The sequence below is a fragment of the Homo sapiens genome, chromosome 3 (genome assembly GCF_000001405.40).
Source record: "Homo sapiens chromosome 3, GRCh38.p14 Primary Assembly".
Taxonomy (NCBI): Eukaryota; Metazoa; Chordata; class Mammalia; order Primates; family Hominidae; genus Homo; species Homo sapiens.
In genome coordinates, this window is record NC_000003.12 from 20,266,636 (window position 1) to 20,281,579 (window position 14,944).

Sequence of the window (14,944 nt, forward strand, 5' to 3'; positions counted from 1 at the left end):
ACTGTCTTCTTTTGAGAAGTGTCTGTTTAAATCCTTTGCCCACTTTTTCATGGGGTTGTTTGTTTTTCTTGTTAATTTGTTTATGTTCTTTGTAGATTCTGGACATTAGCCCTTTGTCAGATGGATAGATTGTAAAAATTTTCTCTCATTGTGTAGGTTGCCTCTTCTCTCTGGTGGTAGTTTCTTTTGTTGTGCAGAAGCTCTTTAGTTTAGTTATATCTCATTTGCCTAGTTTGGGTTTTGTTGCCATTGCTTTTGGTGTTTTACTCATGAAGTCTTTACCCATGCTTATGTCCTGAATGGTATTGCCTAGGTTGTCTTCTAGGATTTTTATGGTTTTAGGCATTACATTTAAATATTTAATCCATCTTAAGTTAATTTTTGTATAAGGTGTAAGGAAGGGGTCTAGTTTCAGTTTTCTGTATATGGCTAGCCAGTTTCCCAACACCACTTATTAAACAGGAAATCCTTTCCCCATTGCTTGTTTTTGTCAGGTTTGTCAAAGATCAGATGGTTGTAGATGTGTGGTGTTATTTCTGGGGCCTCTGTTCTGTTCCATTGGTCTATATATCTGTTTTGGTACCTTTACCATGCTGTTTTAGTTACTGTAGCCTTGTAGTATAGTTTGAAGTCAGGTAGCGTGATACCGCCAGCTTTGTTCTTTTTGCTTAGGATTGTCTTGGCTATATGGGCTCAGTTTTTGTTTCATATGAAATTTAAAGTAGTTTTTTTCTAATTCTGTGAAGAGAGTTAGTTGTAGCTTGATGGGGATAGCGCTGAATCTATACATTACTTTGGGCAATATGGGCATTTTCACAATATTGATTCTTCCTATCCATGAGCATGGAATGTTTTTCCATTTGTTTGTGTCCTCTCTGATTTCCTTGAGCAGTGGTTTGTTGTTCTCCTTGAAGAGGTCCTTCACATCCTTTGTAAGTTGTATTCCTAGGTATTTTATTCTCTTTGTAGCAATTGTGAATTGGAGCTCACTCATGATTTGGCTCTCTGTTTGTCTGTTATTGGTGTATAGGAATGCATGTGATTTTTGCACGTTGATTTTTTATCCTGAGACTTTGCTGAAGTTGCTTATCAACTTAAGGAGATTTTGGGCTTAGACAATAGGATTTTCTAATATACAATCATGTCACCTGCAAACAGAGACAATTTGACTTCCTCTCTTGCTATTTGAATATGCTGTATTTCTTTTTCTTGCCTGATTGCCCTGGCCAGAACTTCCAATACTATGTTGAATAGGAGCGGAGAGAGAGGGCATCCTTTTCTTGCACCGGTTTTCAAAGGGAATGCTTCTAGCTTTTGCCCATTCAGTATGATATTGGCTGTAGGTTTGTCTTAAATAGCTCTTAATATTTTGAGATACATTCCATCAATGCCTAGTTTAATGAGAATTTTTATCATGAAGGGTATTGAGTTTTATCAAAGGCCTTTTCTGTATCTATTGAGATAATAATGTGGTTTTTGTCATTGGTTCTGTTTATGTGATGGATTACATTTATTGATTTGCACATGATGAACCAGTCTTGCATCCCAGGGATGAAGCCAACTTGATCAGGGTGGATAAGGTTTTTGATGTGCTGCTGGATTCACTCTGCCAGTATTTTGTGGAGGATTTTCGCATCAATGTTCATCAGGGATGTTGGCCTGAAACTTTCCTTTTTGTTGTGTCTCTGCCAGGTTTTGGTATCAGGCTGATGCTGGCCTCATAAAATGAGTTAGGGAGGAGTCCTTGAATAGTTTTAGAAGGAAAGATCCTCTTTGTACCTGTGGTAGAATTTGGCTGTGAATCCATCTGGTCCTGGGCTTTTTTTGGTTGGTGGGCTATTACTGCTTCAATTTCAGAACTTGTTATTGGTCTATTCAGGGATTCAACTTCTTCCTGGCTTAATCTTGGGAAGGTGTATTTGTCCAGGAATTTATCCATTTCCTCTAGATTTTCTAGTTTGTTTGTGGAGAGGTGTTTATAGTATTCTCTGATGGTAGCTTGTATTTCTGTGGGATCAGTGGTGATATCCCCTTTATCATTTTTTATTGTGTTTATTTTTTTCTTCTATCTTTTCTTTATTAGTCTGGCTAGTGGTCTTTGTATTTTGTTGATCTTTTCACAAAACCAGTTATTGATTTTTTGAAGGGTTTTTTATGTCTCTATCTCCTTCAGTTCTGCTCTGATCTTATTTCGTGTCTTCTGCTAGCTTTTGAATTTGTTTGCTCTTGCTTCTCTAGTTCTTTTAATTGTGATGTTAGGGTGTCAATTTAAGATCTTTCCTGCTTTCTGCTGTGGGCATATAGTGCTATGAATTTCCCTCTAAACACTTAAAATATGGAACACTTCATGAATTTGTGTATCTTCCTTGTGCAGGGGCCGTGGTAATCTTCTCTGTATTGTTACAATTTTAGTATATGTGCTGCTGAGCGAGCACCTTATTTGTTCTTCTTATCATAGAGGATCCAACATATAACTTTGTGATATTATCAGTATGTAAATGATAGCTGAAGCCACATATATATAAATGACATGATCGGGAAGAATGTGTGGTGGAGAAAGAAAGAGTTGAAAATGGAACCCTGGAGAATAACAACGTTTAAGGTTCAGGCCTTTAAAGAAGTCTTTTTCCTGCAGATTGGGAAAGAGTAGCTAACCAAGTGAGAGATAACTCCAGGAAAATACAACATTTCAACTGTGATGGAGATATCAGGGATGTCAAATGCATCAGAAAGGTCTAGGAAGATAAGAATGGAAAAGTGCTATGTTTATCAACACAATTGTTCTATTCCTTTTGAAAGGTGAAGCCGGCTGGGCTTCTGGGTTGGGTGGGGACTTGGAGAACTTTTGTGTCTAGCTAAAGGATTGTAAATGCACCAACCAGCACTCTGTGTCTAGCTAAAGGATTGTAAACGCACCAACAGCACTCTGTAAAATGCACCAGTCAGCAGTCTGTAAAATGGACCAATCAGCAGTCTGTAGTATGGACCAATCAGGGCTCTGTAAAATGGACCAATCAGCAGGATGTGGGCGGGACCAAATAAGGGAATAAAAGCTGGCCCCCTGAGCCAGCAGCGGCAACCTGCTCAGGTCCCATTCCATGCTGTGGAAGCTTTGTTGTTTCGCTCTTCACAATAAATCTTGCTGCTGCTCACTCTGCGTCCGCACTACCTTTAACAGCTGTAACACTCACTGCGAAGGTCTGCGGCTTCACTCCTGAAGTCAGTGAGACCACGAACCCACCGGGAGGAACAAACAACTCTGGACGCACCAGCTTTAAGAGCTCACTGTGAAGGTCTGCGGCTTCACTCCTGAAGTCAGCAAGACCACGAACCTACTGGGAGGAACAAACAACTCTGGACGTGCCACCTTTAAGAGCTGTAACATTAACTGCGAAGGTCTGTGGCTTCACTCCTGAAGTCAGCGAAACCATGAACCCACCAGAAGGAAGAACCTCTGGACAGATCTGAACATTTGAAGGAACAAACTCCGGACACACCATCTTTAAGAACTGTAACACTCACCACGAGAGTCCGCGGCTTCAATCTTGAAGTCAGCGAGGCCAAGAAACCACTGGAAGGAGCCAATTCTGGACACATTTTGGCAACCACGAAGGGACTGTCACCTATAGCCAAGCGGTGAGTACCATCAGACCCCTTTTGCTTGCTATTCTGTCCTATTTTTCCTTGGAATTTGGTGGCTAAATATCGGGCACCTGATGGCCAGTTAAATATGAGTAGCACAGCTGCTGGACTAAAGACACGGGTGTCAGGCTTTCTGGGAAAGGGTGCTCTAACAACCCCGACTCTTCGGAATTGGGAGCATTGGTTTGCTTGGAATCAGCTTCCGCTTTTCCTGTACTTCTGGGCTGAGCCGAGGGTCGGCAGAGAGGAAAGCCATTCAGCTCCAGGGTCCTGACAAGTTGTTGGTTGACCCTGCAGCCATGAGCGGAACTCTCAAAGTTACGTCGCCCAAGCGAGACTCACCCATGTGTCCTATCTATCCTGACCCTTGCCTCTTGGGTCCTAATGCTTGTCAGACAAACTTCCTCTGGCCTCTCTTCTCTGAGGCTAGTCCCACTTCTAAAAACCACTCCCTGTCTCTGGTGCTTTTCTAGTTTCTCCTATAAGAATGATTTCTAGTATAAACTCCAGGACTCTATTCCCTTCTTTAGGCACCCGGGCTCACCAATCAGAAAGACATAATTTTTCTCCAAAGCCCTGTTGTAGGGGGACTATCTGGAATTTTAGGATCCCTCCTCATACAAGCAGGCCTAACAAAAGCTATTCCTGAAGCTAGGATATGGGGAGCCTCAGAAATTTTATCCTTCCTATTCATATAAGTGATGACAAAAGGCATCACTCTTCCAACTCTGGAGATCCCGTCCTTCTCTCAGGGTATGGCCCTCCACTTCATTTTTGTGGCATACCATCTTTATAAGATAGGGGAAAAGTCCCAATACTAACAAGAGAATGCTTAGGATTCTAACAGGTTTTTGAGAATGCTTCAGTAAGGGCCACTAAATCCGATTTTTCTTGGTCCTCTTTGTGATCTAGGAGGACAGGCAAGGGTGCAGGTTCTCAAGAATGCGTCGGTAAGGGCCACTAAATCCGACATTCCTTGGTCCTCCTTGTGGTCTGGGAAGAAAACTAGTGTTTCTGCTACTGCATCAGTGAGCACAACTATTCAGATCAGCAGGGTCCAGGGACTGTTACGGGTTCTTGGGCAGGGGGAGAAACAAACAAACCAAAACTGTGGGAGGTTTTGTCTTTCAGCTGGGAGACACTCAGGCATCAACATGTTCACACTTGAAATGCATCCTAAGCCATTGGGACCAATTTGACCTGCAAACCCTGAAAAAAAGGCCCCTGCACTATAGCTTGGCCCCACTATTATCTCTCTGATGGGGAAAAATGGCCACCTGAAGGAAGTATAAATTACAATACTATCCTGCAGGTTGACCTTTTCTGTAAGAGGAAAGGCAAATGGAGTGAAATACCTTATGTTGAAGCTTTCTTTTCATTGAAGGGGAATCCACAACTATGCAAAGCTTGCAATTTACATCCCACAAGAGGACCTCTCAGCTTACCCCCATATCCTAGCTTCCCTGTAGCTCCCCTTCCTATTAATGACAAGCCTCCTCTAATCTCCCCCGCCCAGAAGGAAACAAGCAAAGAAATATCCAAAGGACCACAACCCCCCCCCCCGGGCTATCGGTTATGTCCCCTTCAAGCTGTAGGGGGAGGGGAATTTGGCCCAACCTGGGTACATGTCCCTTTCTCCCTCTCTGATTTAAAGCAGATCAAGGCAGACCTGTGGAAGTTTTCAGATGATCCTGATAGGTACATAGATGTTCTACAGTGTCTAGAGCAAACCTTCTATCTCGCTTGGAGATATGTCATGCTATTGTTAGATCAAACCCTGGCCTTTAATGAAAAGAATGAGGCTTTACCTGCAGCCTGAGAGTTTGGAGATACCTGGTATGTTAGTCAAGTAAATGATAGAATGACAGTCGAAGAAAGGGACAAATTCCCTACCGGTCAGCAAGCTGTCCCCAGTATGGATCCCCACTGGGACCTCAACGCAGATCATGGGGACTGGAGTTGCAAACATCTGTTGACCTGTGTTCTAGAAGGACTAAGGAGAATTAGGATGAAGCCCATGAATTATTCAATGATGTCTACCGTAACTCAGGGAAAGGAAGAAAATCCTTCTGCCTTCCTCAAGCAGCTACAGGAGGCCTTAAGGAAATATACTCCCCTGTCACCTGACTCCCTTGAGGGTCAGTTGATCCTAAAAGATAAGTTTATTACCCAATCAGCTGCAGATATCAAGAGAAAGCTCCAAAAGTGAGCCCTGGGCCCTGAACAAAATCTGGAGGCATTATTAAACCTGGCAACCTCGTTATTCTATAATAGGAAACAAGAGGAACAGGCTGAAAAGGAAAAGCGAGATTAGGGAAAGGCCACAGCCTTAGTCATGGCCCTTAGACAAACAAACCTTGGTGGTTCAGAGAGGACAGAAAATGGAGCAGGCCAATCACCTGGTAGGGCTTGTTATCGGTGTGGTGTGCAAGGACACTTTAAAAAAGATTGTCCAATGAGAAACAAGCTGCCCCCTCGCCCATGTCTGCTATGCCGAGGCAATCACTGGAAGGCACACTGCCCCAGAGGTCTAAGGTTTTGTGGGCCAGAAGCCCCCAACCAGATGATCCAACAACAAGACTGAGGATGCCCAGGGCAAGTGCCAGCTCATGTCATCACCCTCACTGACCCCCAGGTACATTTAACCATTGAGGGCCAGGAAATTGACTTCCTCCTGGACACTGGTGTGGCCTTCTCAGTGTTAATCTCCCGTCCTGGACGACTGTCCTCAAGGTCCATTACCATCCGAGGAATCCTGGGACAGCCTGTAACCAGGTATTTCTCCCACCTCCTCAGTTGTAATTGGGAGACTTTGTTCTTTTCACATGCCTTTCTTGTTATGCCTGAAAGTCCCACACCCTTATTAGGGAGGGATATATTAGCCAAAGCTGGAGCTATTATCTACATGAATATGGGGAACAAGTTAACAATTTGTCCCCTGCTTGAGGAGGGAATCAACCCTGAAGTCTGGGCATTGGAAGGAACAAACTCAAGCTCCAGCCTTAAGCCTTCACACAGGATGAAACTTTTCTTTATATGTCACAGAGAGAGCAGGAATAGCTCTTAGGGTCCTTACTGAGACTCGTGGAACAACCCCACAACTAGTGGCATACCTAAGTAAGGAAATTGATGTAGTAGCAAAAGGCTGGCCTCACTGTTTATGGGTAGTTTTGGCGGTGGCTGTCTTAGTGTCAGAGGCTATCAAAATAATACAAGGAAAATATCTCACTGTCTGGACTACTCATGATGTAAATGGCATACTGGGTGCCAAAGGAAGTTTATGGCTATCAGACAACCGCCTGCTTAGATACCAGTTGCTACTCCTTGAGGGACCAGTGCTTAAAATACGTACGTGTGCAGCCCTCAACCCTGTCACTTTTCTCCCAGAAGATGGGGAACCAATCGAGCTTGACTGCCAACAAATTATAGTCCAGACTTATGCCGCCTGAGATGATCTCTTGGAAGTCCCCTTAGCTAATCCTGACCATAACCTATATACTGATGGAAGTTCATTTGTGGAAAATGGGATGTGAAGGGCAGGTTATGCCATAGTAACATTACTCGAAAGTAAGCCTCTTCCCCCAGGGACCAGCGCCCAGTTAGCAGAACTAGTGGCACTTACCTGAGCCTTAGAACTGGGAAAGGGAAAAAGAATAAATGTGTATACAGATAGCAAGTGTGCTTATCTAATCCTACATGCCCATGCTGCAATATGGAAAGAAAGGGAGTTCTTAACCTCTGGGGGAACCCCCATTAAATACCACAAGGAAATTATGGAGTTATTGCACACAGTGCAAAAACCCAAGGAGGTGGCAGTCTTACATTGCCGAAGCCATCAAAAGGGGAAGGAGAGGGGAGAACAGCAGCGTAAGCAGCTGGCAAAGGCAGGGAAAGACCAGCAGAAAGGAGAGAGAAAGAGACAGAAAGTCAGAGAAAGAGAGAGAGGAAGAGACAGAGACAGAGGGAGTTAGAGAGAAAGAGAAACACAGAAAGTCAAAGAGAGAGAGGAAGAGACAGGGAGTCAGAAAGAGAGAGACGAAGAAGTCAAAGAGAAAGAGAGATGGAAGTAGTAAAGAAAAAACTGTTTACCCTATTCCTTTAAAAGCCAGGGTAAAGTTAAAACCTATAATTGATAATTGAAGGTCTTCTCTGTAACCCTATAACACTCCAATACCACCTTGTTGTCAGTTTAAACAAGGGTGTAGCCCGAAAGCACTGAGGCCTCTGACAACCTATAGCCTTCCTATCAAAAATCCTTAACCCTGCAGGTTTCCTAACAGGGGATCTAAATCTTAACTAATTACCATACAAAGTTCAGACCAGATCTAGGAGGGACTCCCTTCAGGACAGGAGGATAGATGGTTCCTCCCAGGCGATTAAGGAAAAAAGACACAATGGGTATTCGGTAAGTGATAAGGAAACTCTTGTAGAAGCAGAGTTAGGAAAATTGCCTAAAAATTGGTCTGTTCAAACATGCGAGCTGTTTGCACTCAGCCAAACCATAAAGTACTTTTAGAATCATGAAGGAGCCATCTATACCAATTCTTAGTTAATGTGGACTGAAAGAGGTTTTATTAATAGCAAAGAAAAATTAAAATCCTAAACTTACAAGGTTTTCAACAAAAGTAAAGTTTGCTAAAAGTTAACCATGTAAAATGTATTATCCTAACTTCTAATCTTATGGAAATCAGACCCTATCAGTGCCCCTGAAAGCTCAAGTCCATCACTGCAGGGCCATACAACTAATACCCCTACTTATAGGGTTAGGAATGGCTACTGCTACAAGAACTGGAATAGCCAGTTTATCTACTTCATTATCCTACTACCACACACTCCCAAAGGATTTCTCAGACAGTTTGCAAGAAATAAAGAACCCTATCCTTACTCTGCAATTCCAAATAGACTCTTTGGCAGCAGTGACTCTCCAAAACCGCCGAGGCCTAGACCTCCTCACTGTTGAGAAAGGAGGACTCTGCACCTTCTTAGGGGAAGAGTGTTGTTTTTACACTAACCAGTCAGGGATAGTGTGAGATGCTGCCTGGCATTTACAGGAACAGGCTTCTGAAATCAGACAATGCCTTTCAAACTCTTATACCAATGTCTGGAGTTGGACAACATGGCTTCTCCCCTTCCTAGGTCCTGTGACAGCCATCTTGCTATTATTTGCCTTTGGGACCTGTATTTTTAACCTCCTTTCAAGTTTGTTTCCTCTAGGATCGAGGCCATCAAGCTACAGATGGTCTTACAAATGGAACCCCAAATGAGCTCAACTAACAACTTCTACCAAGGACCCTTGGACCAACCCACTGGCCCTTTCAGTGGCCTAAAGAGTTCCCCTCTGGAGGACACTAGAACTGCAGGGCCCCTTCATAGCCCCCATCCCCCAGGAACTAGCTAGAGTGGTCATCACCCGATTCCCAACAGCAGTTAGGGTGTCCTGTTTAGAGGGAGGACTGAGAGGTGAAGCCGGCTGGGCTTCTGGGTTGGGTGGGGACTTGGAGAACTTTCGTGTCTAGCTAAAGGATTGTAAATGCACCAATCAGCGCTCTGTGTCTAGCTAAAGGATTGCAAACGCACCAATCATCACTCTGTAAAAATGCACCAATCAGCACTCTGTAAAATGGGTCAATCAGCACTCTGTAAAATGGACCAATCAGCCCCCTGTAAAATGGACAAATCAGCAGGATGTGGGCGGGGCCAAATAAGGGAATAAAAGCTGGCCACCTGAGCCAGCAGTGGCAACCTGCTAGGGTCCCATTCCACGCTGTGGAAGCTTTATTCCTTTGCTCTTCACAATAAATCTTGCTGCTGCTCACTCTTTGGGTCCACACTACCTTTATGAGCTGTAACACTCACTGTGAAGGTCTGCGGCTTCACTCCTGAAGTCAGTGAGACCACGAACCCACCGGGAGGAACAAACAACTCCAGACACACCATCTTTAAGAGATGTAACACTCACTGCGAAGGTCTGTGGCTTCACTCCTGAAGTCAGCGAGACCACGAACCCACCGGAAGGAAGAAACTCTGGACACATCTGAACATCTGAAGGAACAAACTCCAGATACACCATCTTTAAGAACTGTAACACTCACCATGAGGGTCCGTGGCTTCATTCGTGAAGTCAGCGAGATCAAGAACCCACTGGAAGGAACCAATTCTGGACACACTTTTGTGACACTAGAGTCAGTAGAGAAATGTGTGAGATGATGGAAGGGGGAGACTGACTGGAAGATGAGGATGCCAATGTAGAAACCATACATGAGACACCTTTTTCAAAAAGTTTGAAGGGAAGAGAAAAAGAAAGGTACAACAGAGATGGTTATTACTTTTAGCTTTTATCTAAGTGGGGTTTTCTTTTACCTGAAAACGACTGCAGCCTGTTTAAACAGGAAGGAATCTGTGGAAATAGAATAGTCGAGGGCACAGGAAAGGGGCATGAAGATAGTTGAATAGAGATTTCTGAGGAAGCCAGGCAGTGGTATCAGATTGATCTCAGAGGCAGGGAAAGACACCTCTTCTAGTTTAACAGGACAAAAGAAGCAAATTTGCCCATATGTTGTAATTGGGAAGTGAGATAATATTTGAATAAATTCCTGAGTGATGATGCCTCTTTTTTTTCTGTAAAATAGGAGATGATGCCATGGCTTAAGAGTAAGGAGTGTGGTGGAGAAGGAGGAACTTGCTGTGAGTGAAGGTGTTTTTAAAAGGCCACTGTGGGCTGGGCATGGTGGCTCACACCTGTAATCCCAGCACTTTGGGAGGCTGAGGTGGGCGGATCATGGGGTCAGGAGTTCCACACTAGCCTGGCTAACGTGGTGAAACCCCGTCTCTACTAAAAATACAAAAATTAGGCCAGGCACAGTGCCTCACGCCTTTAATCCCAGCACTTTGGGAGGGCGAGGTGGGCGTATCGTGTGGTCAGGAGATCGAGACCATCCTGGCTAACACAGTGAAACCCTGTCTCTACTAAAAATACAAAAAATTAGCCAGGGGCATGGTGGCACTCACCTGTAGTCCCAGCTACTTGGGAGGCTGAGGCAGGAGAATTGCTTGAACCCAGGAGGCGGAGGTTGCAGTGAGCCAGGATCACGCCACTGCACTCCAGCCTGGGTGACAGAGCAAGACTCTGTCTCAAACAAAATAAAACAAAAAACCCCAACAATTAGCCAGGCATGGTGGCGGGCGCCTGTAATCCCAGCTACTCAGGAGGCTGAGGCAGGAGAATCGCTTGAAACCAGAAGGCGGAGGTTGCAGTGAGCCAAGATCGGGCCACTGCACTCCAGACTGGGCGAAAGAGCGAAACTCTGTCTCAAAAAAAAAAAATAAAATAAAATAACCACAGTGCAGCAGCATGTGAGAGAAAACTGTCCGCAAACACATAGGATGGTAAGATAGAGCCAAAAACTCATTTATCCTAGAAATTATGAATTCGTAGTGAGAACAATCCATGAAAAATGGGCCAACTGTGAACCCCGTCAGGACTGGATCCACATCTGTCCTGTTCAGCAAAACACCTTCCAAATCTACCAGGGAATCTTACATATACTAGAAACTCTATAAATATATTTGAATGAATAAATGTATTTTTTTCTGATAATAGCCTGATATGGAGATGAGATAGCAGAAAATTGGCATGATCTAGAAGATTTCTTTTCCCCTTAAACCTGAGTGTTTTTTGTTAGTGAATTCACTCCAATGTATTGCTAAAGGTGGTCGTATAAACCATTCTGTTTGCAATCTCCTTTTTGTCCTTCTGTTCAAAGTGAGTAAAGAACAACCTGTTTGAATCAGACATCAGATCATGATAGTTATGTGGGGAGAGGGCAGGCAGGGACTCAGTAAAAGGACCTGGTAGAGAAAGCAGAATCTACAGGTTTGAACGTAACATTATGGCTCAGGGTCAGTCATTCTAGGAATTGGTCTCATGACAGATGTACCCAAAGCTGCATTTCAAGTCGTGAGATTAAATTTTGGAGGAGAGATCTTGAGAGACATGAAAAGGATTCTCTAAAATCTGAGTAAGATTCTAAGGTGAAGAATATCAATACAGGGCAGCATAGAAAATAATCTGAGCTTTAAGTAATAGGAGCCATTCAGATGGTGCCTTCAGACAAGTACTAGGTATTAGAAACTCAGAGATGAGCAGATAATCCAGTTTCTGAGGGATTGTAGCATGAAGCAGGGACTCTAGATAAGAATGGGGCACCTAGGAACTTGAAATTGTTTTATTCATCCATACACTTGACTAATATTTATTGATAAATGTGTAAGGCACTGTGCAAGGCAAGGAGAAAAGGTAGGCACTGGGAATTAATACCACAGCACAGTAATTAAATAATTGATATGTTAAGTTTAGAAACATAACTGCAAGAATTCAGCTGCAAGAATGACCCAGAGTTGATCCACTATCAGGGGTGGACTGAACCCTCAAATAGGATTTACCTGCATCAGCCCAGTTGCTGAAGTTGTGGACTGCTAAGCAAGCTAGTACACTCACTTCTTTTAGATTGCTTTGGCAGGAGGGGTCTTCCAAATTTGCTTTTGGTTTAAGGCGGTCAAGACAGTTGAGTTGAGCAAGGAAACAAGCTTTTCTTAAAGGACTGTTTTCCAAACAGGCTTGGTTCTGTGGACCTAAATGACAAGATAGTTTCTGGTTAAATCTCACAGATAAAATTCTAACCCTCTAAAAAGAAAAATGTTTTGCAAAAAGATTTAGGTCATTCTAACAGGTAAGAACAACCTTCCATATACATGACAGCCAAAACTTTGTTATCACATGGGAAAACCATCTTCCCCGACCTAGTCTGCCAAATATTATTTACAAATTTCTTTATGATGGGTAGAAATACCCAAAATCCCACCATCACTCTTTATTAGTATAGATGGGAACATAAGGAACAGTGGTGTGACTCAGTTCTTTAAGATCTTTGTTACTTTTATCAGTGAAAGGAGGGTAGGGGGTGCATTTAAAAAGAGTGTATTTCTGAGAGAGGGAAGGGAATGTTACAAATAGATGAGTAAGTCAACAAAAGGAGAAGGATGTAGAATGCCTGCAAACTATCTGATTATTTTAAAAAAGTCTACCTTTTAAGGGAGATAGAATCAAAATTCTTGAGTGGACTCTAGTTATCCTATGCTCTTTGAAATGATAACTATATTTTTGCATTATGCCAATGGTGTTTCTGCTCACAGATTCCAAATTCCCTGGTTAATGTGCTGAAAACTTGTTGTGCTGAACATAAAACCGAATAAAATCATTGATTTCTACAATATTTGTATGGTGAAGCTCAATTCAATGAATAAATTAATAAAATGAATACATGATAAATGAATTGAAACATAATAAATTAATAAAACCTCAATATAATATGCCTTTTAATATACTCAGGAGGGAGTGTTTCAACTGTTAAATTGATTGCAGTTAAATGAATTAAAAAACAAAATAAATTTTAAAATGCTCCATTATTCATTAAAGTACTTTAGTGCCTCATTAATCTATTTTAGATCACTCAGGCCCATAAGTGCCTATTGTCAAAAGCTGATAGAGTGTGAGGAATTGCTTTTCACACCCTGGAGCCAACTGAATACAGTAACGCTTCTCAAAGTGTAAAGATCAAGTCTGTTGGGTATAAAGCAAGTGTCTTTGAAGCTTGAAAAGTTTTTGAAGGGAATATTGGGAGGCGTTTTTTTTCCATGTTTAGATAGTCACATTTTAAAAATTGTTATAAAAAAAGGAAATAAAAGAAACTTCTGGATTTTAAAGTATCCTGTTTCTCCCCTTTCCAAAGCACTCTTAAGATGAGACACATCAGTGCGCCAACCTAAAAGACTTCCTGATTTAAAACGCAGTTGCAACTTTTTCTTTTTTTCTTTTTTCTTTTTTTCAAAGGTGTTGTTCTTTCTAGTGGCTTAATCTCTATTCCTGTTAGTCACTTGCATCTTCTTTCTTAAGTCTCAGCTTCCAGAGGTAAATTCCCAGTGACTTTCTGCTAAGTCTTCTCCTGTTCTGCTGAGTCTTATTGACAAGATCAAGTCATCCCAAGTGGGCTGGCTCTCTTCAGAGCAAGCTCCTCATCAATGTCCTCCAAAATCTACTCCCTAGCCTCTTTTTTTTTTTTTTTGCCTTGGTATTTCCAAGATGCCGGGGGAGGTGTGAGAGCCTCAGCACCAGGAAGTGGTGAACTCGCGGGTTGTAGTTTACCAACAACAGTATAGGTTTGAAAAAGGGAAGTTTATTAGAAAGGAGGAACGCTGCAAAAGGGTACAGTGGAGCGCCTCAGTGAGAGGACTGAGCACCGTGGTGGATTTTCCTTAGGGGTATTTATGGACCTTAAGGCGGGAGCTTGGCATTGTAAAATGAGTTTCAGCATGACATTCCAGAGAAGTATAGAAATTTTAGTTACTTATAAAAGTTGAAAGAGACCTGGAACCAGATGCGACCAGGTGGTCTTTGTTCCCTTCTAAATTCCTCAGATAAGAAGTTTTGCCTCCAGATGGTGTTTGATGGTCACCAGGTGATTACTGCTCTCCTCACAAGGGTTCTATGAGTCATGAAACAAGCTTGGTTTGTTATTTTATAAATTCTATATATGAAGGGTGGGGTTTGTCTCACTGACTTTAGTATCCTACTGGCAGAACCCACTCTAGCTTTATTTAATGAATGCATTACACACTTATAATTTATATGACACTTAAAGTCTCCTGATGTGTACTTAAAAACCTATAATGAAATACATTGAAAATGACATTGCTTAGTGATGTCTGTTATTGAGTTTTTTTTTGTTTTGTTTTTTTAATTTGAGGCAGTCTTGCTCTGTCGCCCAGGCTGGAGTGCAGTGGTGTGATCTCAGCAACCTCCACCTCCCTGGCTCAAGCAGTTCTCATGCCCCAGCCTCCTGAGTAGCTGGGATTACAGGCATCCACCACCATGCCCAGCTAATTTTTGTACGTTTAGTAAAGAGGAGTTTCCGCCACATTGGTCAGGCCAGTCTCTAAGTCCTGGCCTCAAGTGATCCACCTGCCTCAGCCTCCCAAAGTGCTGGGATTACAGTTGTGAGCCACCGTGCCTGGCCGATAGTTGAGATTTTATATGAAACTTGTTTTTGTCTTTCTACAAGCTTGTAGATTTTTTTCCCCTCCCAATTTTTTTCTCGAAATTTTTCAAAATTTTACAATAATGTGGGTTGGTGACGATGTTTTAATCCATTATGTTGGATATTTTGTGGGGCCTTTTAATTTGGAAATTTTCAGTTCTGAGACATTTCCTTGAAATAGTTCTTGAAAAACTGCCAGACCAACCTCT

The 14,944-nt window shown here is 42.6% G+C and overlaps 1 pseudogene, besides 2 other annotated features; it reads right to left on the reverse strand.

The window, feature by feature from the left end:
• On the reverse strand, positions 2,330-2,435 carry RNU6-822P (RNA, U6 small nuclear 822, pseudogene; annotated as a pseudogene).
• Positions 4,735-5,236: an enhancer, noted in NCBI's record as "NANOG hESC enhancer chr3:20312862-20313363 (GRCh37/hg19 assembly coordinates)". NCBI's record gives its function as "activates a minimal SCP1, AML or CMV promoter by ChIP-STARR-seq in naive H9 embryonic stem cells {active_cell/tissue: H9 hESC(naive)}" and the evidence as "EXISTENCE:reporter gene assay evidence [ECO:0000049][PMID:30033119]".
• Positions 13,728-13,928: a silencer, noted in NCBI's record as "peak4563 fragment used in MPRA reporter construct". NCBI's record gives its function as "represses an SCP1 promoter by STARR-seq MPRAs in K562 erythroleukemia cells {active_cell/tissue: K562}" and the evidence as "EXISTENCE:reporter gene assay evidence [ECO:0000049][PMID:32103011]".